The sequence below is a fragment of the Homo sapiens genome, chromosome 1 (genome assembly GCF_000001405.40).
Source record: "Homo sapiens chromosome 1, GRCh38.p14 Primary Assembly".
NCBI classification, from domain to species: Eukaryota; Metazoa; Chordata; class Mammalia; order Primates; family Hominidae; genus Homo; species Homo sapiens.
The window spans coordinates 33,305,636-33,333,146 of NC_000001.11; the positions used below are offsets into that span (position 1 = coordinate 33,305,636).

General features: G+C 52.5%; 2 protein-coding genes and 1 non-coding gene across 12 annotated transcripts in view, besides 3 other annotated features; all 3 read right to left on the reverse strand.

Annotated features, from left to right (window-relative positions):
* Positions 1–1,130: 1,130 nt before the first annotated feature.
* Positions 1,131–15,463, reverse strand: A3GALT2 (alpha 1,3-galactosyltransferase 2). The gene is made up of 5 exons (NM_001080438.1): positions 15,441–15,463; positions 7,172–7,255; positions 6,866–6,955; positions 6,417–6,554; positions 1,131–1,818 (listed from the first exon to the last, which is right to left on the reverse strand). The coding sequence occupies exons 1-5, from the start codon at positions 15,461–15,463 to the stop codon at positions 1,131–1,133; spliced, it is 1,023 nt and encodes a 340-aa protein (NP_001073907.1).
* Positions 5,639–5,839: a silencer, noted in NCBI's record as "peak168 fragment used in MPRA reporter construct". NCBI's record gives its function as "represses an SCP1 promoter by STARR-seq MPRAs in K562 erythroleukemia cells {active_cell/tissue: K562}" and the evidence as "EXISTENCE:reporter gene assay evidence [ECO:0000049][PMID:32103011]".
* Positions 15,464–17,990: 2,527 nt separating the features above from the next.
* The window catches only part of PHC2 (polyhomeotic homolog 2), a 107,470-nt gene continuing 97,949 nt past the window's right edge, over positions 17,991–27,511 (reverse strand). For all 10 annotated transcript variants that reach the window (NM_001385123.1, NM_001330488.2, NM_001385121.1 and 7 more), the window contains 5 exons: positions 26,640–26,769; positions 25,713–25,827; positions 24,436–24,577; positions 23,235–23,511; positions 17,991–19,384 (listed from right to left, as the gene is read on the reverse strand). In NM_001385123.1, coding sequence (NP_001372052.1) covers positions 19,230–19,384; positions 23,235–23,511; positions 24,436–24,577; positions 25,713–25,827; positions 26,640–26,769 — 819 coding nt within the window. In that variant the 3' untranslated portion in view covers positions 17,991–19,229. The remainder of the gene's footprint in view (positions 19,385–23,234; positions 23,512–24,435; positions 24,578–25,712; positions 25,828–26,639; positions 26,770–27,511) is intronic.
* Positions 23,948–24,448: an enhancer, noted in NCBI's record as "H3K4me1 hESC enhancer chr1:33795184-33795684 (GRCh37/hg19 assembly coordinates)". NCBI's record gives its function as "activates a minimal SCP1, AML or CMV promoter by ChIP-STARR-seq in naive H9 embryonic stem cells {active_cell/tissue: H9 hESC(naive)}" and the evidence as "EXISTENCE:reporter gene assay evidence [ECO:0000049][PMID:30033119]".
* Positions 24,449–24,949: an enhancer, noted in NCBI's record as "H3K4me1 hESC enhancer chr1:33795685-33796185 (GRCh37/hg19 assembly coordinates)". NCBI's record gives its function as "activates a minimal SCP1, AML or CMV promoter by ChIP-STARR-seq in naive H9 embryonic stem cells {active_cell/tissue: H9 hESC(naive)}" and the evidence as "EXISTENCE:reporter gene assay evidence [ECO:0000049][PMID:30033119]".
* On the reverse strand, positions 26,758–26,857 carry MIR3605 (microRNA 3605). Its single transcript, NR_037400.1, has one exon. It is a non-coding gene; the product is annotated as a microRNA 3605 (primary transcript).

A 27,511-nucleotide genomic window follows, 5' to 3' on the forward strand; every position in this document is an offset into this window, starting at 1 on the left:
ACGCCCTGCTAATTTTTGTATTTTTAGTAGAGATGGGGTTTCATCATGTTGGCCAGGCTGGTCTCAAACTCCTAACCTCAAGTGATCTGTATGTCTCAGCCTCCCGAAGTGCTGGGATTACAGGCATGAGCCACTATGCCCGGCCTGAATGTAGTATTTTAGTTTAGAGTTTAGATATAGGTGGTGAAGCTTCAGTATGCGTAAAATTATATCTAAGTTTGTATGTAAGAGTGTATCTGGTTATAGTTTATAGAAGCATGATCATTAACCCCAACTGACATTATCTTATATGGAGATATATCTAGAGTCACTTATTTTTTTAGGGAATATAGTGACTCTGGCAAGGGACGTGGGGAGCTGTGTTGTTTTGACAGCTATATGCTGTCACAGTTAGGGTTTTGTGAAATTATGCTGGCAAGGGAAAGGAGCAAACATGGCTTCTTATGTTTGCTACTTTGTCTCGCAGCACAGGAATAATTTATCATAATATTACTGAAATATGTACAAACCATGCTTATGAGCAGGGGAGGTAAAAGGGCAGAGCGAATGACGGGGTGCCCCCTGTGTTTCTTCCTGTGGCTCCTGCCCAGAGACATCCCGAGGGGCCAGCCACGCCTCTCCAGCCGCTGACATCACAGTGACTCGGACCCTCTGTGTCCTTGGGCAGTTATGTTTCCTCTTTTGTATCTCAGTCTCCTCATTTAAAAAAGGGGTTGCAGGTGGGACTAAAACATCTCCAGAGACACCAGCTGCATTCTGCAGGCTCAGGGGTGAAAGGTCTATAGGCTGATAGCTCGGGGCTCTACTGCAGTTGAGCCTCGCTCACTGCTAAGCTAAGGGAAGGGGATTTTTCTCTTGAAGTGAGGAGCTCCCCAAAGGCGAGGAGCTCTCCCTCCTACTCCCACTCCCACGGACTGGCGCACACGAAGCGGGTAGGGCTTTTGTATCCAGTATCTCTCTGCTCTCCAGAGCGCCATCAGCGTCCAGAAGGGCCCCGCCCGGTTTCAGGATCTCTTCCTCTAGTGACTCCCACTCCACACCTTCCCGGGGCCGAAGACGCCCGGAGCGGGAGTGAGGCCGGGCCGGCTGGGCCGGCGGAGAAGCCGGAGGGCCGGGAACCGGCGGCGGCGCTAGTTCCGCAGCAGCCGGTACCCCTTGGGCGCCCACAGCAGTCGCGGGCGGCGGATCTCGGCCCGCGGGCCGATGTCCGGGCTCCAGCAGAACTCGGGCGACAGCACCTTGGCGGGCTTGTGCAGCCAGAAGAACTTGTTGAGGTGGCTCTCGTCGTGCCAGCGCGCCTCCAGGCCGCGCGCGCGGTCCCAGTCCAGGCCCCCCGCACAGTGCGCCGTCAGCCCGCGCAGCGCCGCCACGCTGCCCCCGAACACCGCCGCGTGGTTATAGAAGTCGCCCTGGCCCCACGCCATCGCGGCGGCCGAATGCGCGTCGCGTTCGAAGGGCAGCAGCCACGACGGCCAGTGGTAGTGCCAGGAGTGCAGCTGCGCCACCGACTCGGCCAGCGCCTCGGGCCCAAAAGTGCCGCTGAAGTGCTGGTCCACGTCCATGCAGAACATGAAGTGCGCCTCGCGGCCCGGCAGCCCGCCCAGCGCCGCGTGCAACGTGCGCATGCGCGCCATCGACACGTCTTGCCAGCGCCGCTCGCGCGCCACGCGCTCCACGGGCAGCCGGCGTCCCGGGCCCAGCGCCACGCGGGGCACCGCTCCCGGAAGCTCGGTGAACACGTAGTACATCACGCTCTGGCCCGCCATGAAGTGCTGCTCCGCCGTCTCCAGGAAGCGCTCCAGGTACTTCTCCAGGTATCTAAGGGCGCGGCGCCACCGTCAGCCTGAGAGTGAAGCGAGGCGGGCCCGGCCTCCCCACCTCATCTCACCTCTACTCCCACCCCACCCTCACCCCCACTCCCACCCCACCCTCACCCCCACTCCCACCCCACCCTCACCCCCACCTCATCCCACCCCTCCCAACCCTCACCCCCACCTCACACCACCCAATCCTCACCCCCACCCCACACCACCCAACCGTCATCCCCATCTCACCCTACCCCAACCTCACTCCATCCCCACCTCACCCCACTCCCACCTCCCCCCCACCCCCACCCCACCCAACCTTCACCCCCACCTCAACCCACCCACCCCAACCCTCACCCCCACCCCAACCTCACCCCACCCCAACCTTATCCCTACCCCCACCTCAGCGCGCCTAACCCAAGCTCACCCCCACCTCACCCCCACTGCTGCCCCACCCAGCCTTCACCCCCTTCTCACCCCACCCAACCCTCACCCCCACCTCAACCTCACCCCACCCCCACCCCAACCTCACTTCACCCCACCTCACCCCTACCCCACCCCAACCTCACCCACCTCACCCCCACCGCAACCTCACCCCCACCGCAACCTTACCCCCACCCCACCAGTGCTGCCTGGTCCTCCCCACACCCGGCCTTGGAACTCCGGACCCTCTAGCCCTAGCATCTTTCAACTTAGATGGGGCAGGGCAGGTTGGACTGAAGATGCTTGCAAATTGCCTGCCACTCCTGCCTCATACTGGCCCTTTGGACGACTGGCAGCGTTTCTCTCTTTAGAGCTCTAAGCCTCCATATAAGAAGTCCCAGAACTTGGGTGCTGCCATGAGTGAGGAAGCCTAAGCTGGCCCCCACCAGTCTTCAGCAGTTGGTCTCCCAGCTGAGACGCAGACATTTGAGAGCATGAGAAGAGGAGCCCTTCCTGCTGAGCCCTGTCTGAATTACTGACACACAGAATTATTATTTTTGAGATAGCGTTTCGCTCCTGTGGCCCAGGCTGGAGTACAGTGGCGCTATCTCAGCTCACTACAACCTCTGCCTCCCGGCTTCAAGCGATTCTCCTGCCTCAGGCTCCAAGTAGCTGGGATTACAAGTGGCCACCACCACGCCCGGCCAATTTTTTTGTATTTTTAGTAGAGATGGGGTTTCACCGTGTTGGCCAGGCTGGTCTCGAACTCTGACCTCAGGTGATCCTCCCGTCTCGGGCCTCCCAAAGTGCTGGGATTACAGGTGTGAGCTACTACGCCTGGCCCTCCACAGAATTATTATTATTATTTTTTTGTCATGTCAAAGTTGTTTTTTTTTTTTTTTTTTTTTTTTTTTTTTAGTATTTATTGATCATTCTTGGGTGTTTCTCAGAGAGGGGGATTTGGCAGGGTCATAGGACAATAGTGGAGGGAAGGTCAGCAGATAAACATGTGAACAAGGGTCTCTGGTTTTCCTAGGCAGAGGACCCTGCGGCCTTCTGCACTGTTTGTGTCCCTGGGTACTTGAGATTAGGGAGCGGTGATGACTCTTAACGAGCATGCTGCCTTCAAGCATCTGTTTAACAAAGCACATCTTGCACCGCCCTTAATCCATTTAACCCTGAGTGGACACAGCACATGTTTCAGAGAGCACGGGGTTGGGGGTAAGGTTATAGATTAACAGCATCCCAAGGCAGAAGAATTTTTCTTAGTACAGAACAAAATGGAGTATCCTATGTCTACTTCTTTCTACACAGACACAGTAACAATCTGATTTCTCTTTCTTTTCCCCACATTTCCCCCTTTTCTATTCGACAAAACCACCACCATCATCATGGCCTGTTCTCAATGAGCTGTTGGGTACACCTCCCAGACGGGGTGGCGGCCAGGCAGAGGGGCTCCTCACTTCCCAGACGGGGTGGCTGGGCAGAGGCGCCCCCCCACCTCCCAGACGGGGGGCTGGCCGGGCGGGGGCTGCCCCCCACCTCCCTCCCGGACGGGGCGGCTGGCCAGGCGGGGGCTGTCCCCCACGTCCCTCCCGGATGGGGCGGCTGGCCGGGCGGGGGCTGCCCCCCACCTCCTGGATGGGGCGGCTGCTGGGTGGAGACGCTCCTCACTTCCCAGGTGGGGCGGCTGCCGGGCGGAGGGGCTCCTCACTTCTCAGACGGGGCGGCCGGGCAGAGACACTCCTCACCTCCCAGACGGGGTGGCGGTCGGGCAGAGACGCTCCTCAGTTCCCAGACGGGGGTCACGGCCAGGCAGAGGCACTCCTCACATCCCAGAAAGGGCGGCGGGGCAGAGGCGCTCCCCACATCTCAGACGATGGGCGGCCGGGCAGAGACGCTCCTCACTTCCTAGACGGGATGGCGGCCGGGAAGAGGCGCTCCTCACTTCCCAGACTGGGCGGCCGGGCAGAGGGGCTCCTCACATCCCAGACGATGGACGGCCAGGCAGAGACGCTCCTCACTTCCCAGATGGGGAGGCGGCCGGGCAGAGGCTGCAATCTCGGCACTTTGGTAGGCCAAGGCAGGCAGCTGGTAGGTGGAGGTTGTAGCGAACTGAGATCACGCCACTGCACTCCAGCCTGGGCAACATTGAGCACTGAGTGAGCGAGACTCCGTCTGCAATCCCGGCACCTCGGGAGGCCGAGGCGGGCAGATCACTCGCAGTCAGGAGCTGGAGACCAGCCCGGCCAACACGGCGAAACTCCGACTCCACCAAAAAATACAAAAACCAGTCAGGCATGGCGGCGCGCGCCTGCAATCCCAGGCACTCGGCAGGCTGAGGCAGGAGAATCAGTCAGGGAGGTTGCAGTGAGCCGAGATGGCGGCAGTACAGTCCAGCCTCGGCTCGGCATCAGAGGGAGACCGTGGAGAGAGAGGGAGAGGGAGAGGGAGACCGGGGAGAGGGAGACCGGGGAGAGGGAGACCAGGGAGAGGAAGACCGGGGAGAGGGAGAGGGGAATTATTTTATGAGCTATAATAATAAGTTGTTTTAAGTCACTGTCTTTCACTATATAGATAACGAGGCTGCCTGGAATACTGTATGAACAGACCTTGGGATCCTAGGACTTTAAAATAGTAGTAACAGTGCCTAATAATACTTTGAACTTTTATCATGTGGCAGCCACTGCTTTCTATGTCAATGTGCATTGTCTCATCTAAAGAGCGTTAGAAACTTGTATGTACCATTGGTAAGTGGTTGAGCCAGGATTTGAACCCAGCTTGGCCTTAGAGCCTGTACCTTTACTTGCACTTGCTCTATTCCTGGTGACTGTGGGAAATGGGAATCAGAGACCTAGGAAATCTCAGCATTTCGTGGTGTTGGACTCAGAATCTTGGAACTCAGGACCTCAGTATCCCAGAATTTTCTGTACATTGAGTGTCTGACCCTAGGGCTGGGGCAGGAACGCCCTACTCCGCATGTGTGATGGAAGTGGGAGCACCGAGGCCTTGGGAGAGACGAAGGCCCAAGTAGCCCAGCAGTTCTGCCCGCCTGGTCCACGGGGCAGCCCTTGGTCCTTTTCATCCCCTTGCCTGTCAGTGGCACTCCTGGCTTTCCCTCCCTTGTAGGGTGTGGGGGACAGAGTTCGAGGAGCCTTGAACAGTTGTCTGGGGTATCTGGTAACAAAATTCCTTCCCCATCCTTCCTGAATGGGAGGCTCTCACCACCTTCCCAAAGCAACTAGTTCCACTTTTAGAAATGCCTCTTTTAGTTGCCCGAAACTAGGTTATAGGATCTGACTGCCACTGTCAGCCAAGAGTCCCCTTCGTGTCACTTCAGGAAGGTCGACACCCAGTTTAGACACTCCCTGTCATCCATAGTGGGGAGGTCAGCACCCCGCTGCCATTTCTTCTCTTGACCTCCTTTCCTGTAGTGATTTTCCCGTGCCCTCCACGGTCACCTGTTCCCTTCACAGTTACCTGTTCCCATGGCTACTCCCTCAACTTGATCTTCATCAGTGTCTGTCCCACTCTGTAAGGACCTCGTTCTTCTAGCTCACTTACTGTGATTACCACCCCCAACCCAAAACAGTCCTACCTCACTGAATCCTCTAATCTGGTGACCTTGCCACTTCAGTATTTGTCACCCCCTTCCTCTCTTCACTTCCCTCTGCCCAGTTCAGATTCACTCCCTTGCAATCCTTCAGCTCCCCAGCCCCTCTCCCTTCATCAGACTTGCTTGGCACCTGCCCCCACAATCCTATGTACCTGCACCTGAGCTGCTGACCTCCAATGGGCACCGAATGCAGTGAATCATCCCTCTACTTACCCAGTCACACTCCCCTCCTCTCACCACTCTCACCTGAAAGACTCCATCATTTTCTCACTACAAAACCAGTGCCTCCAGATGGATGAGTCCCAGCCCCTAGGCAGGTCCCTTCCAGATGTGGTTCTAGAACAGCCCTGGCTGCCTGTGTTGGGCGGGCTCTATGGTGTTGGTGTCCAGGGAGGAGGAGAAGGATGGTCCTGTGCTCATCTGGGGGTGTGGGGCAAGAAGTGTTGTCTTTGCTTCTCGCTTCACTTTGGGATCCCATGGCACAGGGGAGCAGGGTGCCCCGCCTCCTTCATCACATGCACACCCCTCCCACTCACAGCTTTGACAGCACTGCTCCCCTTCCCAGGCCTTACCTGCCTACAGCAAAGATAGTCAGCCCAATGGTGAGGTTCTGCTGTCTAGCCTCTTGCTTGGCCACATCTGGGTCGAAAGAGCCATCCCAAATAATGGGAGCCCCCCAGGGGGTACAGGTCAGAACTTCAGGCCGGGCCCTGGCCAGGGCAGGGATGGGAAATGGAAATAGCTCCATTCATCCACCCACTTGGTGCATGTTCACTGCCACCTCCCCAGTGCTGAGCCCTAGGGACCCATAGACCGATGAGACCTAGTTGCTGCCCCTGGAAGCCTCCAGCTCAGAGCAACACAGAGGACTGGGAGATGTGTGGCCCGATGGGGCTGCTGGACTTGGTGGCAGAGTGCCTGGCTCTGCTGGGGTGGGAGATGTGTGGAGGGCAGGGACATGGGGCAGAGCTGTGTAGGGTTTGGGGGTGCCCTTGGAGTAGGAGGGATGGGAGCTTCTTACCAGGGACGCAGGGCACCTGTGAAGTTGTCTCTCAGCTGGGACATTGTGGCCGAAGGGCAGACGCCCATGGGGATGAGGGCTTCCAGATGCCTGTGGTGGGTTGAGGGGCGGGGGGCAGGCAGCCGTGAGAAGCATGTCAGCCTGGCCAGGAGCCCTCTGGCTTTGCTTCTTACAAGGAGAGAGAGCTCACAAGGACACTTGAGCTGAGTTAGCCACTGCCCTCCATCCCTCAAGGAGGCACTTAGACAGATCCCCTTTAAACCTGACTGTGGTCCTACCTCAAGTGCTGGGGAAAGGGGCTTTTACCTGAATTTAGGGAGGCCATACAGAAACAGGCCTAAGAGGCCAAGTGTAAGTAGGATCTGCCGCCAGAAGATTCTCTTCCAGGCCCTGGGGGCGGGAGGGGGGCATCAGTAACTCATTTATATGTATAGACACAAATATTTATATGCACACATACATGAAAAGTCTTTCTTACTTCCAGCCAGCTGGTTCTTCTGCATGAAGGTAGCCAGTGTTACCAGTTTCTTGTGCAGGGGCATGACCTTGGGCAGGTTGCGGGGATGATAACGTTAGGGGTTGAGGTACTTACTTATCCTGGGTGGAAGGTGGGACTGACCTTGGACAGGAGAGGCCAGGAGAGGATGCACAAGTGTTTGTGGCTCAGTGACGGAGTTTTTTTTTTTTTTTTTTTTTTTTTTGAGACAGCCTCACTCTGTCACCCAGGCTGGAGTGTTGTGGTGTGATCACAGCTCACTGCAGCCTTGAACTCCTGGGCTCAAGCTATCCTCCCACCTCAGCCTCCTGTGTAGCTGGGACTATAGACGCCTAATTTTGTATTTTTTTTTTTTTTTTAGAGATGGGGTCTTGCTATGTTGCCCACGCTTGTCTCCAACTCAGCTCAAGCAATCCTCCCGCCTCAGTCACTGGGAGTTAAAAGCTGTCTGGGACTTAGAGAAGAGTTACTGGGCTGGCTGTGGTCAGAGACCAGGTGTCTGTGGTGGCTCCAGTCACCAGGCCAGGTGAACTCCTCCAAGCAGAGCTCAGCAGCCCAATTCTTGGCTCAGAAGAGGTGGGCTTTGGGATTTGTCCACACTTCGTTTTCCAGGAAGGGCTCCAAATGCTGAGAATCTTAATAAGCTCCTTCTGGGGAGCTTGTTCCACTGTCACCCCACCTTCCTGAGTACTCACGTATCTAGAGCAACTGGAGCCACGTGGTAAGGAGCACAGACACGGGGGCCAGAGCCCTGGGTTCGAATCCCAGCTCCACCACTCATTAGCTCTCTGACCCTGGGGCAAGGTCTGGTCCTCTGCACATCAGTCTCATCTATAGGATGGGGTAATAAGAACTCCTGCCTTAGGGCTGTCATTGCCTTCACACAAGCTAAGCGTTGAGAACAAGGCCTCTCATGTTGCAATAGTTCACTCAGCTTTATCTAGTGATGACCATTCTTCCTGAACACACCCTGATCGTCACCTGGGCAGCCTCCTCACTCCACTCCCTGCCCCTACAAATCCATCCATCCATCCATCCTTCTTTCCTTCCTTCCTTCCTCTTTTTTTTTTTTTTTTTTTTTTTTGAGATGGAGTCTCGCTCTGTAGCCCAGGCTAGCGTGCAATGGCACAGTCTCAGCTCACTGCAACCTCTGCCTCCTGGGTTCAAGTGATTCTCGTGACTCAGCCTCCCGAATAGCTGGGATTACGAGTGCCCACCACCTTGCCCAGCTAATTTTTGTATTTTTAGTAGAGACGGGGTTTCGCCATGTTGGCCAGGCTGGTCTCAAACTCCTGACCTCCGGTGATCCACCCACCTCGGCCTCCCAAAGTGCTAGGATTACAGGCGTGAGCCACCGTGTCCGGCCTACAAATCCTTTCAAAACCTGGCTCCCCTGGTCTCTTTCAAGAAGGCCGCCAGCTTCAGACCCTCCTGCCCCTGCCTCTCCTGCTGCCCCACGTCGCTGTTCCTCAGCAGGTGTGTCTAGTAAAGAGTGCTGCGAACTGCCTTGCAGGTGTGTGGATCCACCTGGGCACTGTCTCTGAGCACAGCCCCTCCTCCAGTTCACTGCGCCAAGCCAGAAACCTGGGTGCACCCTGACCCCTCCTGCTCTGCACCTGCTGTCTGCTTTCAGTCCCGGGTTGACCTGGTCTCCTTGATCTCTGCTCCCCCTGCTCTTCCCCGTGCCCCACAGTGACCCTCGCCTGCTCCTCCGTCACGGGATCATTGCAGCAGCACTCTTCATGCTCCTGGTCACTTCCTCCACAACCCCAGAGTCATCTCATAACAAGTCAGCCTGCCTTAACAGTTTCCATGTCACACAAACAGGTAAATCCTCAAAGAAGAAGTGCATTTAGTAGGCAAATATATGGAAAAATGTTCACCCTCACTGGCAATCAAAGATATACAAATTAGAACAAGGTGGTATGTTTTGCCTATAAAATGAGCACTTTTTAAAAAAAAACATAATAGGGCTGGGAGGGGCTTGTGCATGTAATCCCAGTGTTTTCGGAGGTCAAGGCAGGAGAATTGCTTGAGGCCAGGAGTTCGAGATCAGCCCGGGCAACGGAGCAAGACCCTGCCTCTGCAAAAAATTAAATTAGCCGGGGCTGGGCGTGGTGGCTCATGCCTGTAATCCCAGCACTTTGGGAGGCCGAGCGGGTGGATCACAAGGTCAAGAGATCGAGCCCATCCTGGCCAACACGGTGAAACCCCATCTCTACTAAAAATACAAAAATTAGCTGGCCGTGGTGGCACGCGTCGGTAGTCCCAGCTACTTGGGTGGCTGAGGCAGGAGAATCACTTGAACTTGGGAGGCGGAGGTTGCAGTGAGCTGAGATCACACCACTGTACTCCAGCCTGGTGACAGAGCAAGACTCTGTCTCAAAAAAAAAAAAAAAAAAAATTAGCCAGATGGTATGCACCTGTAGTTCCAGCTATTCAGGAGGCTGAGGCAGGAGGATCGCTTGAGCCCAGGAGTTACAGGTTACAGTAAGCTATGATCATGCCACTGGACTCCAGCCTGGGTGGCAGAGGTAGACCCTGTCTTGATTTTAAAAATAAAAGGCATAATGAGAATAGCCAAGCTGCAAGAATGCAGTGAGATTGGTGCTCTTACACTTGCTGGTGGGAGTGTAAATTGCTACAGCCATTTGGAAAGCTACTTAGCTATGGGAATTGAAAGTGTTCAATATTCATCCACTTTGATTCAATAATTCCAAGCTTCTGGGAATCTGTTCAAAGGAGATAATCTTCAGAATGAGAAAAGTTTATGCATCAAGATGTTCATCAGTTTCTGTTAAGTCGTGCATTCAACGTATATTTATTGGACACAAGCTCAGCGTCAAGCACTGTGCTAAGTCAGGGATTCAGAGGTGAATGAGACACAGACCCTGTCTTCAGGGTGCGGAGTCAGGAAGATGTGGGTGTAGTTGGGCGGGGGGGCAGTGGTGAGGGTATGGGTCACATGACACACTGAAAACAGATGTGTGGAACACGGCACAATGAATGCTGTGATTGGGAACAGTATCAGATGCTATGAGGCAAATTGGAGAGTAGCACCTGAGCCTTCGTAGATGAGGAGGTAGTTGGGGCCTCCTGGAGGAGGAGTTGACTTCTAAGGTAGGACCTAAAAAATTATTAATAGAAGTTCTTCAGGTGAAGAAGGCATGGAGGGGGAAGAGAGGTCCATGGAAAAGAAACAACAGTATGCAAAAGTGAGGAAGCCTCACTCCTGGAATGTCTGTGGAACTGCAGGGTGGAGTGTAGTAGCAGATGAGGAGGGAGGGATGAGGCTGCAGAGGTGAGCCGGGGCCAGGTCACCCAGGGCCCGCATGTCAGGCTCGGGGAATTGGACTTCATCTTGAGGGTCATGGGGAGCCCTGAAAGGTATTTCCTCTGGGGAGTGACTCAGTCAGATTTTTATTTGAAAAAACAAAACAAAACAAAACAAAAAACCCAAAAACCAACAAACAAAAAAACCCTCCACAAACCTGAAAGTACTCCAGCTGAAATCTGGAGCCTGGCCATGGTGGGGTGGCAGGGAGGGCACTGCTGGAGGCAGGAAGATGAGTTAGGTGCCAGCCCCTGGGAGGTATCAGGGGCAACACCAGGGAGTTGGCAGCTGGATGGGGAGGAATAGGTGGTGAGGGGCTGTCAGGGAGGGCACATGGGCAAGACTTGGCCATGGATTTGAGGGACGGGGCTGAGGTACCAGAAAGGAGAAGATGCCTGGTTGTCTGGTTGGAGGAAGGGGGCTGGAGCCCAGAAGGCAGGCAGGCTCAGGAGAAAGTTCTGGGATTTGCCAGGAGGGCAGGGATGTTATGGGAGAGAGGGAGAGAGTACAGAGGGAGAGGAGGCCAGGGCCCAGGCCTAGACCAGGTGGGAATGGGAGGGAGACTGAGGAGGTAGAGGACTTAAGGAGAGGCACATGGGTTGGGTGGGAGTGGGGCTGTCTTTCCAGAAGTCGGGCTGTAAGGAGGACAGAGATGGGGTGGCAACTGGAGGGGACAGGGTGGTTGTATTGATGGGTGTGTGCTTGTTTCCCTTACACAAGCGAGACTTGAGCTTGGTTGAATGCTGCCTGGAAAGCACCCACAGAGAAGGCGTTTTGGGTCACAGGGAGAGGCATTATCTCAGCTCCTCAAATATAACTGAAGAAGGCTTTAGTGTCCAGCTGAAGGGACTGGCAAATAAACGTGTTAGGAAGACTCTGCAGTCACGTAGAAAAATGCTCATACAGGAACATGAAAGGAAAAAAGCAGGATCTAAAATTGAGGTGCACTCTGATTACAATTTAAGCAAGAATAAAAACGTGCATCAGAAAATAAGACTAAAAGGAAGAATGTGTTTGTGCAATAAAATTAGTTTCTTATTTTCTCCTCAATTTTCTGTAATGTATTTACAGTAGGTTGCTTTTTTAATGAAGGAAAAATTCAAAGTTAGCAATTTACACACAAAAAAATTGAAGTTATTTTGTGGTTTCCTGCTGAGTGCAGGACACCGTCCACATCTCTTAACCATGCCTGAGAAGCCTCCCAAGTCCAGCTCCTCCACTGTAACACTGTCAGTGCTCACAGCCCCTGGCCAGCTTGCCTGCAGCTAGGAATGGAGACTCTGCAGTGACTAGTCCCAGGATGTTCCCATAGCCTTCTCTGAAAAAGCAAACTAATGCAACAACCCCAGGGTTCATCAGTAGGGAACTGGATCAATGAATTAGGCATCTCTATACAGGTTGGGTATCCTTTATCCAAAAGTTTGGACCAAAAGTGTTTTGGATTTTGGACTTTTTTGGAGTTTTGAATATTTGCATTGTATTTACTGGCTAAGTATCCCTAATCTGGAAATCTGAAATTCAAAATGCTCCAGTGGGAGCATTTCCTTTGAATGTCCTGTCAGTGCTCAAAAAATTTCGGATTCTAGAGCGTTTTGGATTTCAGATTTTTGGATGAGGGGTGCTCAACTTGTATAATAGAAATCAACATGGCTATTGAAAAGGGTGAGGTAGATTTATATGTACTCTCTGGAAAACAGACCCTAATGTGTTAAGGTGAAAAGGAAGGAATAACTAATACGGAGAGGCAGACCTTGCTTCTGGCAGGGGGAAGCATCTGTGCCTGTGCACTCGAGCCTTTGCAGTCACGTATAGCCGCGTTCTTTCATGAGTGTAGGAAGAGATCTTGAATAGCATCATCCAGTGGAAGTATAGTGTGAGTCACATGTAATTTAAACATGTCTAGTAGCCACATTAAAACAGTGAAACAGGTATAAATTCGGATGTGCTGGTTTAAATAAAAATATTGTTACAAATAATTTAATGCCCCACATGCAGCCCATCAGCAAACCCTGGGGGTTCTCCCACTCACTCTCCTCCGTCCCCCTACTCACTCCTCCCCCATCCTGCCATTCACTCTCCCCTTCCTGTGTTCTCAGCGATTGATCCCAGTGACCCAAGTGGGACCCCTGCTTTCTCTCCCGACAGCCAAGTTGTTGCTTTTGCCTCCTTCCTAGTGCCCAAAACTCCCCTCCTGGCCTCCCTCACTGTCCTATCTGTGCCTCCTTGTTTCTCACTTGGATTCCTATAACAGCCTCCTGACCCTGCCTCCGAGTCTCCATCTTTTACCCTTCACTATGAAGTCTCCTAGGCTTCCCCACCTCTGTATTCTGTTCTGATTGCACTCTTCCTTCCATCAGCCAACAAGCTCCGCATCATTCCTCAGCACCCAGCTTCCTCCTGTCTGAAGCTGGCCTTGACATCTCCTCCGTTAGGTCCCTCCCCCAGGATGTGCCTCTGTCCCTTTCCCAGACCTCTCCTCCAGTACCTGCCAAGCGATGCTAGGGACTGTCTGCCTCACTCATTATGCCTCTGCCTCATAATTCATGCTATTGATAATTATTTGTTCAGCAAATGAATGAAACAACGAATGAGTTATTTGTGTTCATTCTCTCTTCCAAGTTGACTGGTACTCCTTTGCTTAAAACTCCATTTTCTTCAAGATTAAGTCTGCACTCCTTATGCATAATCCCAGACACTGAGACGGATACCTGGCCAAGTGTATTATGTGCCTGTCCTGTTAAAGGCACACCACAGCCCCTTGAAGGAGATGCTGTGCTTATGTCTACTTTATAAATGAGGAAACTGAGGCTTAGAAAGGTTAAATCACTTGCTTAGGGTTGCAGTTGCTCAGGGGAGAAAGCAGGGGTCCATTTGGGTCACTGGGATCAATCGCTGAGAACATAGAAGGAAAGATCAAGGAAATGCAAACTGCAGCTTGAGAAGCACTGAGTTGGGACACTCAGGTGAATACTGCTGTCCAGGGGACACACAATACCTCAGGGCAGCGCTCAGCAAGGGGGCTGGGCCAGGGTCACTGTGTGAGAGAGGATGCATGGAGGCTTGGAGCAGATCTCAGTGACAGCTCACCTCTGCAAGGCTGGGCGGCCTCATTGGTGTGAATCAGATGCACCACATCTTCTTTTAGGAGTAGGTTTGGTTCCCTCCCTCTTTGCTACACATATAACAAACTCAGGTGGGGCCTGGTTTTCATTTTCTTCCATAAAGGGAAAATTAAGGTCCAGAAAGTGAAAAGAACTGCCCAGAGTCCTATAGGCCAGTGGTGCACCTGCGCACGTGGCCTGCACTCCAGCAGCAGGAGAGGAGGCAGCACATGGGGCGTTCGTTCTTGCCTGGGGGCTCCCCACGGCTCACTCCCCAATCTCAGCATCCTCTCCTCCCCTGTCAGCTCAGGGTCCTGCCAGTCATTCCCTGCCTCCTGGGGCACCAGGCTTTCCAGTCCCTAGTTCTACCCCCTGGGGATCAACTAATCAGCTTGTTTCTCCTCCAATAAGTATCCGTGTTCTTTAGGTGAAAAGCCCCAACCTACTGCAGGTTTTCAGGGTGCACCTTCAGTAGGCATTTGCCATTCCTGTTTACACTTTACACCAAGGCATTTGCACGGCGGGTAATGGGTGGGGTTGGGCTTTGAGTAGGACTGCCCGATCCCCCAGCCAGAGCTTCCAGCATGGCATTTGGGTTCCATTTGACCTGGGCCTAGCTCAGCCCTGAGGCTCATCTCACAAGGTTCTCGGCCCTGTTATTTCTCCCCGTGGGCTTGGCTTCTTCCCTTCGCACTCTATTCAGCTCCTGTCTGAGCTCCTGGAGGGCTGGCTGCAGCTGGGCTTCTCTGGTTCCTAGAAGCCTGGTCAAACCCCGTACTGGGAGCTGGCAAGGCTGCCTCGGGAGGTGCACTGTGGGAGGTGTGCGAGGTACTGCGTAAGGTACTACAGGAGCAGGAAAAGGCTGGAGGGGCTTTCTCCCCCTCTGTGGCTGTCCCACCCTCTTCACCAGCCTCCTCCCAACCAGGGTAGGGCAAACCGATGCTTATTCTGGGCTCTGGGCCTCAGCCAGGGCACACAGGCAGAGTTGGTCTTGTGAACTCCTGTGGTCAGGCCTGGGAGGGTGCTGAGACCCAGGACTGGGTGGGACCCACCAGCTCCTCCTGCCCCTCCTATGCCCCAGCCTGGGAGCCCGTGGTCTGTGGAGGCCCCTGATCAGTCCACTCCTCCACATTTCTTGTTCAGGTTCTACCTGCAGAAGGTGGTCCCTCAAGCTCCACCCTGTGCCCTGCTCCCCACTCTCGTTGGCTTCAAGAAAGGGTTAAAGATCAGCCATTAGGTCTTAAGGGGGCACAGGTTCCTAGTCCTGGACCATCAGTCCCAGTGGGGATAGAGGGAGCTCTCAGTTACAGTCGGGGAGGGAATGTACCCCCGGGTCTCTGCTTTCCGGCTCGCCAAGGGGGTTTAGAGTTAAGGGAAGCAAGGGGAGTCCAGCTTTTCATTGGCTACAAAATCTTGTGGAATACAACCTCCCCCACCCCGGTGTCCATGCACACGGATTGTCTTTCTTCTCCTGGGGCAATGTCCCCTCTCGGAGCCACCTTTCCCCAGGACTGGAGGCTCAGCTGGTACTCCTGGGCTCACTCTGGTGCCTCCCCTTGGTACTGTTTTAGCCATCAGACTGGATCCCTCTTAGCTCAGCTGTCCCCAAGCTTTCTTCCTCTCCATACCATTGTCCCCCCTCACCTGAGTCCCTCCTTGAGAGCCATATGGGGAAGCAGGTAGGATGGCCTGGAGCAAACTTTCCCAGCTTAGAGCTGGGGAAGAAATGGCCTGCTCCTGGAGATCTGGAACAAGCAGCTCCTCCCCCTTTACCTGAGGAGCTGCACCCACAGGAGCAGTCAGGATGGACTGCCTGCGAGGGACCTGCCGGGGATGCAACCTTTTGGGGGAAGCTGGCCCCAAGGTGGAGTGGGGCTGGCAACCCTTTTGGGGCCAATCACCTGGAAGAGGGTGGGTCTGAGTAGGCCAGTTCTGGTTGGCTGGAGGCTCTGTCATTTTGTACAGACTCCTCTTCCCTCCCCAGGGGAAGTGTCTTTGGTTCTTGGGAACAGCTGGCAATCAAGGTATGGTGTTTGCCACGCAGGAAAAGCCGTTCTGCACAGAGCCTCAGCCAGATCTGAAGGGCACTCGGCACCTGTGACCTTGGACAGTTCACCTAGTGGAGCCCTTTACCTTCTCAGTAGAATGTACACCAGTACATACACCAGTCACCCAGGAGAGAGAACCATGTAAATTCGTGGATGTTGAACCGTTGTGATTTACTCTGGGCAGTGCTTTTTAAAGTTCCAGTTGTGACCTATCTGAAGGCCGTGTAATGAGTTTAGTGGGTCGTGACCAAGATTTTTAAAATACGAACAGGAATACAATGGAAAATATTCTATATTGTACGTAAGGGTAGGTTTTGTTTCATGAAATGTTTGTTTCAGTTGATAGATATTGAAATGTGTATACAAGTTTGGGAAATATTTCTTTAAATTGTGGATCATGATGGAAATAGGTCTGTGAAATTCAGTGTGAAGTGTAAACAACAGGAATAGCAAATGCCTATTGCAGGTGCACCCTGCAAACTTGCAGCAGGTTGGAGCTTTTCATCTAAAGAAGATGGATACTTATTGGTGTGAATCAAATTCACCACATCTTCTTTTAGGAGTAGGTTTGGTTCCCTCCCTCTTTGCTACACACAACAAACTCAGGTGGGGCCTGGTTTTCATTTTCTTCCATAAAGGGAAAATTAAGGTCCAGAAAGTGAAAAGAACTGCCCAGAGTCCTATAGGCCAGTGGTGCACCTGCGCACGTGGCCTGCACTCCAGCAGCAGGAGAGGCGGCAGCACATGGGGCGTTCGTTCTTGCCTGGGGGCTCCCCAGGGCTCACTCCCCAATCTCAGCATCCTCCTCCTCCCGTCAGCTCAGGGTCCTGCCAGCCATTCCCTGCCTCCTGGGACAGGCTTTCCAGTCCCTAGTTCTACCCCCTGGGGATCAACTAATCAGTGTGTTTCTCCTCCAAGACAGTTCCATTTTAATAGGCTTTCCAAAGAGGAGTTATTAAGATGTGAGTGTTGGTTCTTGAAAGTTACTTTCAAGTAAGTAATTGTCCTTTAGAGACTGTGATTCAGTAGGTTGTGGCCTGACCCTCAAACCACCCCCACCCCTGCTTTTTTTTTAAAAAAAAATAGGGTTTTTGTCTGTCACCTGGGTTGGGGGTGCAGTGGTGCAATCATAGCTCACTGCAGCCTTGAACTCTTGGGCTCAAGTGATCGACCTCAGCCTCCAGAATAGCTGGGATTACAGGTATGCACCACCTTGCCATTTTTTGGTATTTTTTTGTAGATATGGGGTCTCTCTATGTTGCCCAGGTTGGTCTCAAACTCCTGGCCTCAAGCAATCCTCCCACATCGGCCTCCCCAAAGTGCTGGGTTTACAGATGTGAGCAGCCATAACCTAAATTTTTAACAGGTAGAAATGGTCCCTTAGGGAAAAACCTGATGAAGGGGGAGGAGCAGTAAGGCCAAGCTGCCTCTTTTTCCCCTCCCCCCATAGATGTGGGGTAGATTTCACTCCACGCAAGAGGGCACATGGTTATTCTGTGCTTCACCCCAGTCTCATTTCTAGCACAGTGCCTGGTTCAGAGGCATGTGGTCAACACAGGTCACGGTTAGCAGCACACACGTCTAATCCAGCCAGCTCACCTGCCTCTCATTTGCACTTCCACGTTCATGCTTGTGCCTTTGCACTTATGCCTCGGTCTGGAATGCCCTTTCTCCTTCTTTATTCAAGGCTTAGATGCCTCATCTCTGCCCTAATCATTTTCTATTTGAGCATGCAAAAGTGCTCAGTGAACCAAAGCCATCCCAAGGCTATTCTGGATGCTGTGCAGCTCTATCGAGAGGTGTGTGCTGGAAGATGGGAGAGTCTGGGTTCTGCCCCAGGTGTCCAGAGGCTGCTAGCCCAACAGTCATCATCTCCCAAGTGGGAATGGCGGGTAGGGGGGCGCAGAGCAGAAAGGGCTTCTGGACCCTCTCACTCCAAGGGACACCGTGTGAAGAAAGCTGGTATCTACCGTGTGAACTGCAGCTGAGGGCACCCTCAAATGACCCAGCTCCAGAAAAGTGTGGAGGATATGCCATCCACTTAAGGTCCCTTCCCCAGCCCAGGGACCCACCTGTCTGTATGGGTGAAAAGTAGCCATTTGGGCCCAGAGACAGGCATTCCTAGGGGAGAAAGGCACCAAAGAGACAGATTTTACAGATTTATTTTTAAAAAACAAAACAAAGGTTAAAAAAGTCCTTCATTTCCAACCCTGCCTGGGGGTGTGGGTGGGGAATAGAATAAGCTCAGAAAGGTGCCTACCTCCTTCCTGCAAAGGACACGGCAGGTCAGAGGCAGGCCCTCGCCCTTTCTGCCCTGCCTCCTCCTCAGGTAGCTCAAATTGCTGCTAGGAAGATTTATAGGCAAAGAAGTGTGGGAGTGGGAGGCCAAGAGCTGCCTTCTTCACATCAACAGAAACTCCAGCTGTTCTTTCCCCTTAGCAGTTCTCTGAGCCTCACCACTGGGACTCCCAGGGTGGGCGGGCAGGCAGGCCAGGAGGCTCAGCCCTTTGGGCTATGTTGCTCAGACCACCGCAGCTTTCTTAATGCTCTTTGTGAACCAGGAGGGCGGTCAGGGGAACTTCACAGTGCGGGGAGGGGTGTCTGGAAAGGAAACTCTGAAGCGCCGTCTCTTTCTGACCTTGCCTCTGCGCTGAGGCTGCCATTCTTGGCTATTCCCCATCCTGAGGCTGAGTGGAGTCCAGGACAAAGCACTAAGTGGCTGTTTGCTACAAAACACCTGGAGATGCCAGAGAGTAGCCCTTGGCCTATCTGTCAGTCCAGGCTCCCACACAGTCACACAGTCATACACACAGCGTTAAGGCGTCTGTGCCAGCAGGCACGGCCCGGCTGGGCCCAGCTTCTCTCTCTCCACCTGCAGAGGGTGTAGGGGGGAGAACCCTGGCTGCTGCAGAAACAGGCTGAAGGGGGAGAAGCTGACAACGGAAGAGTTAACCAGGCCTGGAGAAAGAAGTGGGAGGAAGGAAGGCAAGGGCTTTCTAGGCCTCCATCCAGGCCTGCTGGCTGCCCTTGAAGTAACCCAACTCAGGTTGGGGAGCCCTGACCATATACCCCCTGGAAAATGGGGGACAGAAAGAGGGGAAGAGAGCGGGGCTAGAGTATTGGGACTTTGGAGGAAGCCAGTGCTATCAATATTTACAAGCATAAAGCCCCATCTTCTGTGCCACCTACCTCTCTGCCCCTCCCACAGAAATGAAAGGCCCCTGAGAGCCATGGAGGAGGTGCCCAGACCTCCTCACCAGCTATGCCCCTAGGGAGAGCCCCTGCCCTCCAACCGGCCCCATTTCTGGGCCCCTCAGGAATGTCTGTCTGGCTCTGCTCAGTCGGGAGGAGGCGCCCTGGGCCAGAATCCTGGCTGCCACCAGCCCTAGGAGTCCTTGAGCATGCTGATGCGGGCGTAGATCTTCAGGGCGGGCCCCAGCTTGATGTTCATGGCGCTCATCAGGTGGTCCTCCTTGAGCAGCAGCAGGGCTTGCCCGTCGATTTCCTGGGCACGGAATTCCTCTGCTATCTCCTGGCAGCCTGAGGGGGTACCACCAAAGACAGTGTCAATCCAAGCCGCCAGTGTTCACCTCTGGCAGCCACTGCATCTAGTTATCTAGATCTAGTTATCTGCATCCATTATTTCTTTTAGTCCTCATAACCACGCCTTGAGGAAGGCGCTGCTGTTCTTATTTTGCAGCTTGAGAGAGGCTGTGCAACTCACCCACAGCAGCCGCGATCTGGGCCTCCTCCTATGTTCCCCTGTTCAGACCCCTGCTCCATGAACTGGGCGGACCCATGTCCACTAAAGTGCTGAGGAAGTGACAGCGTGTGATTTCTGAGGCTAGATCATAAAGGGCACAGCAGTTCTCACCTCACTCTTCTGCCTGGGTTACTGCAGAGTAAGCCAGCTACCAGTAAGCCACCCCAGCAACCCTTTGGAGAGGCATGCGTGGAGAGCAGCCAAGGCCCTGGTGGTCCCCGGCCTCCTTGCCGTGTGAGTGAACCGTGCTGGAAGTGGGTTTTCTGGCTCCAGACCTCAGACACTGCAGCCTGTATGGCGTCTTCCCTGAGACCTCATATGACCTCAAACTCATACACTGGGTCTGTGGAAGGGAGCAGATAACCTCTCTGTTTCTAGTTCTTAGACTAAGAGGAACTGGACACCAGGAGCCTCATACCAGGACTGCCCAGCCGAGCCACTCGATTCCTGACCCACATGGCCCTTGAGATGACAAGTGATTGCTGCTTAAAGTCACTGAGTTCTGGAATAATTTACATCATGGCAATAGGTAACTAATGCAGATTCTGGTACCTGGAAAAGGAGTGCTGACATCAAACAGCTCTATAGATGTGGGCGTGGCCTCAGAACTGGCCACAGGCAGGAGCCAGAAGGACTCTGTGGAAAGCGTGAGTGTCTAAGGTGCTTTGAGAGACTGTATATAGAAGTCTCATGGCCTTTAGGGAAGCTGCTGGGGAGGCCTAAAGGAAAGTGAGGAAACTCTTAGTGGAGATTGGAAGAAACAGGGTCTCTGTTATGAAATAAAAGAACATTTTGTAAAAATGTGGTTGGTAGCAGAAATGTAAGTTGAATGTACCTCATGAAGTGGGTGGTCTAGCTAAGGAGATTTTCAGGCAGAATGTGGAAGGTGTTGCTTGGCTTCTTACTGCTGCTCACAGTAAAATAGGAGAGAGAGAAGGTAAAAACAAACAAACAAAACTGTTCAACATAAAGGAACCGGGATCTGCCGGTTTTAAAAATGCCCAGCCTCTCCAGATGGCACATGATGCTAACATTAAGAAATGGTTTCTAGGCAAAGATCAAATTCAGGGCACAGTCAAGAAAACACGGTCTACAGATTAAACTTAGGATGTGACTTAAATCTTTTTGTGAAGACTTCAGAAAGATCTAAAGTGATGCCTCAAAGAGCTATTCAATCCAAAGGCTCTCGACGGATTTTCTAGGCATGCCTCGCAGATCCTCTTTTCAACAGCAGGGTTTCTAAGAATGTGAAGGGCACTGTCCATGCTGCCCCTCAGCTTCAGAAGAATACCAATGCAGACAACAGCTTACCCTTGAAGATAATTCTGGGTGTGGTTTTTGTCTAATGGAATGGACCCCAACAAGATTCCCAGAAAACCCACAATTATTTTAAGAAATACTGAATTACTGATTTTAAGAGTCAAAGGTAGGCCGGGCGCAGTGGCTCACGCCTATAATCCCAGCACTTTAGGAGGCTGAGGTGGGTGGATCGCCTGAGGTAAGGAGTTTGAGACCAGCCTGCCAACATGGTGAAACCCCATCTCTACTAAAATACAAAAATTAGCTGTGTGTGGTGGCGAATGTCTGTAATCCCAGCTACTCAAGAGGCTGAGGCAGAATTGCTTGAACCCAGGAGGCGGAGGTTGCAGTGAGCCGAGATCACGCCATTGCACAATAGCCTGGGTGATGGAGCAAGCCTCTATCTCAAAAACAAAAAACAAAAAAGTCAAAGGTAATATAAAATAAAAAGGAGGAAGCAGGCTGAGAAAACGACTACACTGAAAATACAGGCTACTTTTCACAGAAAAGGAAGGAGAACTCAGAGGGCAGAACCAAGACAGAAATCACTCCCAGGCTTTGAGTCCCAATTGAGGAAATGCCACCATAAACCCTAGCGGATTTCGGAACTGGAATGGATCAGCGACTCTTGTACGCTCCCTGTTTCTCCCTTTTTGGATGGGCATGTCTGTAATGGTTATCCTATGGCTGTCCCACTGTGCATTGGGTTTGTGGAAGGGAGCAGATAGCCTCTCTCTCTAGTTCTCAGATCTTCAGACTGAGAGGACCTATACTTGAAGAACTGGACCCCAGGAGCCTCATCTCACCTCAATGATGAGAGCCTGGACTTCAAACTGATGCTGTCATGGGACCAAACTGTCGGGGATTTGGTGGCGGTGAGGGTATTCTGCATGAGGAAGGAACACAAATTTCTGGGGGTCATGGTGAACTACATGGCTTGTCTCTGAATGGCTCCCAATAATCCTTGCTTCCCAGTTCATGCCCTCTCACAATGAGTAAGACTGACCTGTGTGACCCATAAGATATTGTGAAAAATTTTAATTAAAAAAATATATTGTGAAAATGCCAGTACGTGGCTTCAGAGGCTAGATCATAAAGGGCACAGTGGCTTCTACCTTGCACTCCTGGATCCCTACCTGTGGGGACATCCCACTGCCATGCATATCATGAGAACACTCGAGCAGCCCTCTGGAGAGGCCCATATAGACAAGAACCAAGGCCTCTTGCCAACAGCCAGCCCAGGGCAAATCACGTGAGTGAGGCACCTTGGAAGAGATCCCACAGCTCTTCAGTATTCACGTGACCTCAGCCTTGGCTGATAAATCTTAATTGTAACCTCATAAGACACCTGAGGCAGAACGGCCCAGGAAGCCACTCCTGAATTCCTTACCCACAGCAACTGTGTAATAAAAATTTTGGGGATGAAGAGATAACATACTAGGTTAAGTGACAGAGCCAGAATTTGAACCCAGTTCTGTGTGACTCAGAAGTCTGTGCTCTTAACCACACTGCAGTCTCTTGAGAAAGAGGCTTGTGGTTACCATGAATACCTGACCTGGTCGGTGTATGAGTGAGACTGGCAGAAAAACAGTAATGCATCCAGGCCCCACTGAAGGCATCTGTGAATGATGTAAGGCTTGCCTCTTACAGCTGGCTCCTAGATCCCGGGCCTCACCACCACTTGTGCTCCACCACGCAGGGCTCTGTGCCATGTCTGGCCATACCACAGACTTCCCTATCTTCATGCCTCTGCATGTGCGCCCTCTTGCAGTCTCTCCATCCAGCAAAGGCATACTTGTCTGTCTACTGTCATTTAGTTTACATTTTCTTAATTAAATTTTTTTTTTTTTTTTTTGGTAGAGACAGGTCTCACCATGTTGCCCAGGCTGTTCTCAAACTCCTGACCTCACGCAATCCTTCCACCTCAGCCTCCCAAAGTGCTGGGACTATAGGTGTGAGCCACCACACCTGGCTATTTTCTTAATTTTGATGTTCCTGACACATATCCTACACTCTACCTGACTCCCCTCCTAATCTCTCCCAGGAGAGAGAGACAGTTAATTACATTATCATCTCTGTATTTCACACAGATCACTTCCCATGCCAGAAAATATACAGAATTACAGCTATGGAATATTTATAGTTTGCATTCTATGCTGAATATAAGCAAGCTCTTATAGGCAGGGAGCTCATCTCACTCATTTCTGCACCCCAGTTCCTGAACCTGAGTCATTAACTAAACTACCTAATCCTCCTGGTGGTGGGAGGGTCTCTCATTTTCTCTTTCCTTGCTATTCCGGGGAGACATGGAATTTCCAAGGGCCTTACCTGGCAGAGAGCGGATGAATTCGTAGACGTCTTCTACATTCCACTTGGTGGGCTCACTTGGCAGGAAGTGGTGTCCCATGCCCACCAGGTCCCGCATATGCATGTCGGGGAGCTCCAGGTCCCGCTGGCCTTGTCGCCGGCGGGAAGTAGATGAGCTGGCTGAGATGGGTGACAAGGGTTCCTCATAGCTTGAGTTATCTGAGCAACGGCTGGAGTCTTCCTGGCTGTGTGTTAGCTGCAAAGCAGCAGTAACCGAAAGGGGCACAGTGCCTGTTGGCTGGGAGCAGAGAGTTTTCTTCAGGATGGGGGAACAAACCATCTCTAGCAGCAGTGATGAACAAAGGAGGTATTTCTCCTTTTTCTACTTGGCCTACTACTACACATCTGAGTTCCCAGATCTAACAGCATCTTCCATGCTGTCCTGTCTCCTACCCTAGGCAGAGTTAGTCCCTCTTAGTATTGTAGTGTCTACCACACAATACTGCAATTATCTTTTTCTAAACATGAGTTTTAAAGCAGGGCTCTGAGTTCTAGGAGGTGATCACAGAGCCACTTGAAATAGCATGTAACATTTCTTCTGTACGTACACAGCTTTGGACCATTCTTAAGGAGGTTTAAGACAAAAAAAAAATAAGGCAAAATTATACATAAGGTTATAAAACATCACACCATGCTGTGGAGTTCCTTTAAGGCGAGACTGTGTCCTTAGAGCCTAGTGCCTAACAGAGTTTCTGGCATACAGCTGGTGCTAAAAAATATTTAATGACTGAATACCCATGTTCCTGGTAGAGACCTTCAAGAACTCTGTGCTCGCGTGTTCAGGGAGGCAAAAAGGTGGCAAAACAAAGGGTGGAGGCTGCCTTCTCACCCAGCCCTCCACGTAAGGCAGGAGGTTACCTGAGCAGCCCAGGGGAGACCCCATTTCCGTGGCCCCAGAAGCCAAGGATGGAGGCAAACTGGAAGGTGGGGTGATGTTGAGGCAAGGCCACGGAAGGGGGCAGGGAACCTTGTAAGCACCCATGGGTCTAAATGAAGGGACCTACTGGGGTGCAGAAGGCTCGACTGGACAGGTCTACAAGGAATGAGAGCACAGCAGAGTGCGCTGAAGTCGGCAGCTGGAGGGGACCGTGGTGTCGAGGGCCATGGAAGGGAAGCTGTGGGGACTGTGGGGATGGAGCTTCAGGCTCTGCCCGCCTCTTACCTGCTTCTTGGTATCCTTGGTAAGTGGTGGCAGACTGGCTTTGCTGGCCCGACGGCGGTTGTGGGTCGCAGCTCCTGCCTTCTGCAGCTTGCTCCGGTCTGAGTGGAAAAGTCCCACCCGTTTGGTGCATCCCACGTTGTACCTTCAGGGACAGGGGAACAGGGGATGTCACAGTAGTCATTGTGCTTATGGGCCGTAGGCAGAATGAGCACAGCCAAGCTGTCTGACAAATTTTGAGTCCATCTATTGGTTCAGATCCTAACTCCATCACTAACTACTAGCTGTGTGACTTTGGGTTTAAGTCACTTAAGCCCTGATCCTCCGTTTCCTTATCTGGAGTTGGGGGTAATACCACTCACTTTCTAGGTCTGGTCTTACAACATGAGATAATGTCTGTAAAATGTTTGAGACACCTGGACTTGGACCAGGGCGAAAGCTCACACCTGACTTATTCCACTATAAATGTTACCCTGTGACGGGAAACTACTGTCCACTGTCCTGCTGGGGAGTGGCCTGGCTGCTCCAACAGCCTGAGGGGAATGAGGGCTGAAGATAGCTGAACTCTAGCTTGGCATGCAGAACACCTCTGTCTGGGACCTAGAGATTTCTTCTCTTCTGGGATTTCAGGGCTTCAAGGTCAGCTGTTGCTTCCATTGTGGTACAAAGACCACACATGGCTTTAGAATTGGACAAGCCTAAATCCCCAGGCCCATGGCTTATTAGCTATGTTATCTGAGGCACTACTACTCCTTTGTACTTTGGCTTCCTAACCTGTATAAAGGGGACAATAGTAATACCTGTCTTGGGAGTTATTTTGAAGATGAGATAATCGTATCAATTGACTGGCACAGTGACTAGCACACAGCAGGTTCTCAGGAAATGGCAGTGGTTTTTATGATGACCATTAGTGATCTATGCTGGGCGAGAGCTCACCAAGGGAACACTATAGCTGTGGTTCTGGGTAAGGCTTACCCTAACAAGGCAGGGGCTGTCAATGCTAGGAAAGGCGAATGGGTGCCAGTGGAGCCCAGGAGGGCCAGCCGAGCCAAAGCACTGCGGCTTTTCCTTGGACTCCCGCTGCTCTCTCCCACCTGCTCTTAGGGGTTCTGGCTTCTCGTGCTTGTTGAATTAGGGATGCCATCCTGCTTCCAGGTGGGTCGAGGAACTAGGAAACTGGAGAAGCCACCCCTATGGACCTCCTGGGGTAGACTATTAATGGCAGGAGGTGGGACATAAAGTGCAGTCCTGGGGAAATGGAGGGGGCTGGGGCCACTCACCTCTTTGCACAAGCCATGGAACAGAAGCGCTTGGAACGCTTGAACTTATAGGCAAAGTCCACCCGGCCACAGAGCTCACACTTGAGTTTGAGGGGAGCACCCTCCTCTTTGGATTCTGAAAAGTATAGAAATGGGTAGGGTGGAGAATGAGAAATTCCTGCAGGACTGTGGCCAGCCCCACCACGGGGCCTCCCTACTCCATCCTGCCTGGTCCTCCTGCTCCCACAGCTGTGACATACAGCAGCATTCTAGCATGGAAAATGCCAGTGGTTCTCACCCCTGGAATGCACTCAAGGGTGTCTGGGGATGCCCCTTGTAGACTTGACATTTTTTTCTTCCACGTGGTCTGAGTCTGAGGCAAAACACAGGTGGGGAAGAATCAGCATCAAATGACTGTGGAAGAAAGCAGGAGCCCCCAGGAAATACTCTGGATGCTGTCACAGCTGCTCCGCTGGCATCATCACACCTTGATCTATGCAGCTGGCTGCTGACCCAGTAAAAGACCTCAGGAGCCCACGCTCCTGCAGCTGTGCAGCTCTGTCAGTGCTTCATGTGGAAAGAGCAGCCTTGCCTGGTCTCTGCTGTGACCTAGAGCTGGCCCCAGTCTCAAGGCAGGGACGAAGGGCAGGACTTGCCTGGGGCCACTCCTACAGTCATGCCTAAAACTTGCCAATGATTCCCACAGGAAAAGCCATTCTTGGGATCCTGTGGTTGGCTGGAGGGGGATTGGGGGAGCAGAGGACACATGGTTCCCGTGATTTCCCCTATCCCTCTTTTTGAGGGAAGGAGGCTGAGGAGGTGCTGGGGGAAATGTTTACAGACTCGCTGGCTCAGGGTTCCTCTGGGGAAACAGAGAGAGGAAGTGTGTGAGGCCTGCCTTTCCAGCCACGCTGGGAGGCCGAGAGATTCAGGGTCTGAGATGCCCACCTTGCAGATAGGGCTCCTCCATCTCCGAGTCAGTGGTGGTGGTGTGATCCTGCTGTGGAAGTTTCTCAGGCAGGAACCCCTGTGCATACTTCTTCTTGAGATTCCCCACCAGCAGGGACGAGCGTCCCACCTAGAGGACAGGTAACACGGAGGCCGTGAGGGTCAGGTGGGAGCGGCTTCCTTGCTATCCATCCTCATCACAATTACACGTATAAAGTATCCAGGCACAGAGGCCAGCCCTCCTCAAACCTTCCCCCATGTCATCATCCAAGTGTGCTGGGCTCAAGGCCCTATTTTGCTGGTTGGCTCACGAGGTAAGATGCTAATGGGCAAAGTACAGGGATGGCTTCTGTCCAGGACCAACGGATGGCTCAGGAGATTAGGAAAATGTCTATTCCAGTAAGAGTCTAAGGGCTGAGATCAGGTTTCCCACAGTGCCAGATCAAGCACCAAGACCCAGTACCCACGCATCTCCAGGCAAGGACAGAGCGGAGTCTGTGTGAGGCTGTACATACGAGAGAGAGACTCAGCACCCATTTTCTGATTTTTTTACTGTTCTCCACCTTACCCCAATGCCTGACCCAAGCCAGAGGTACAGGCCGCCACAGAGTATAGCAGGAAAAAACAGACCCTGGGCCACAGAGCCAATGAACTCTCAGTTGTCAGAACCCCAGAGCAGCTTATTTACGCGTTTAGATCTCCTTTTGTGGCCTGTGTTTAGGCAGCCTGGTAGCCAGTCACGTGGCACCGACTCTAGGGCAATGCTGGGGGTGCTATGCAATCTGCCTCCACCCCATGAGATCAGGTGGTTTCTAGTGTTACTCTAGGAGGCCCAGTCTAACAGGGAAGGGATGTAACAGAGCGAGAGCCAC

Bases quoted from the DNA above. Each gene is read 5' to 3' on its own strand.
- A3GALT2 (NM_001080438.1), bottom strand. From the start codon at position 15,463: ATGGCTCTCAAGGAGGGACTCAG. The intron at 7,256-15,440 runs GTGAGGGGGGAC...TCCCGCCCCCAG, and splicing joins GCTCTCAAGGAGGGACTCAG to GGCCTGGAAGAGAATCTTCT. The intron at 6,555-6,865 runs GTAAGAAGCTCC...TGCCCTGGCCAG, and splicing joins ACAGGTGCCCTGCGTCCCTG to GGCCCGGCCTGAAGTTCTGA.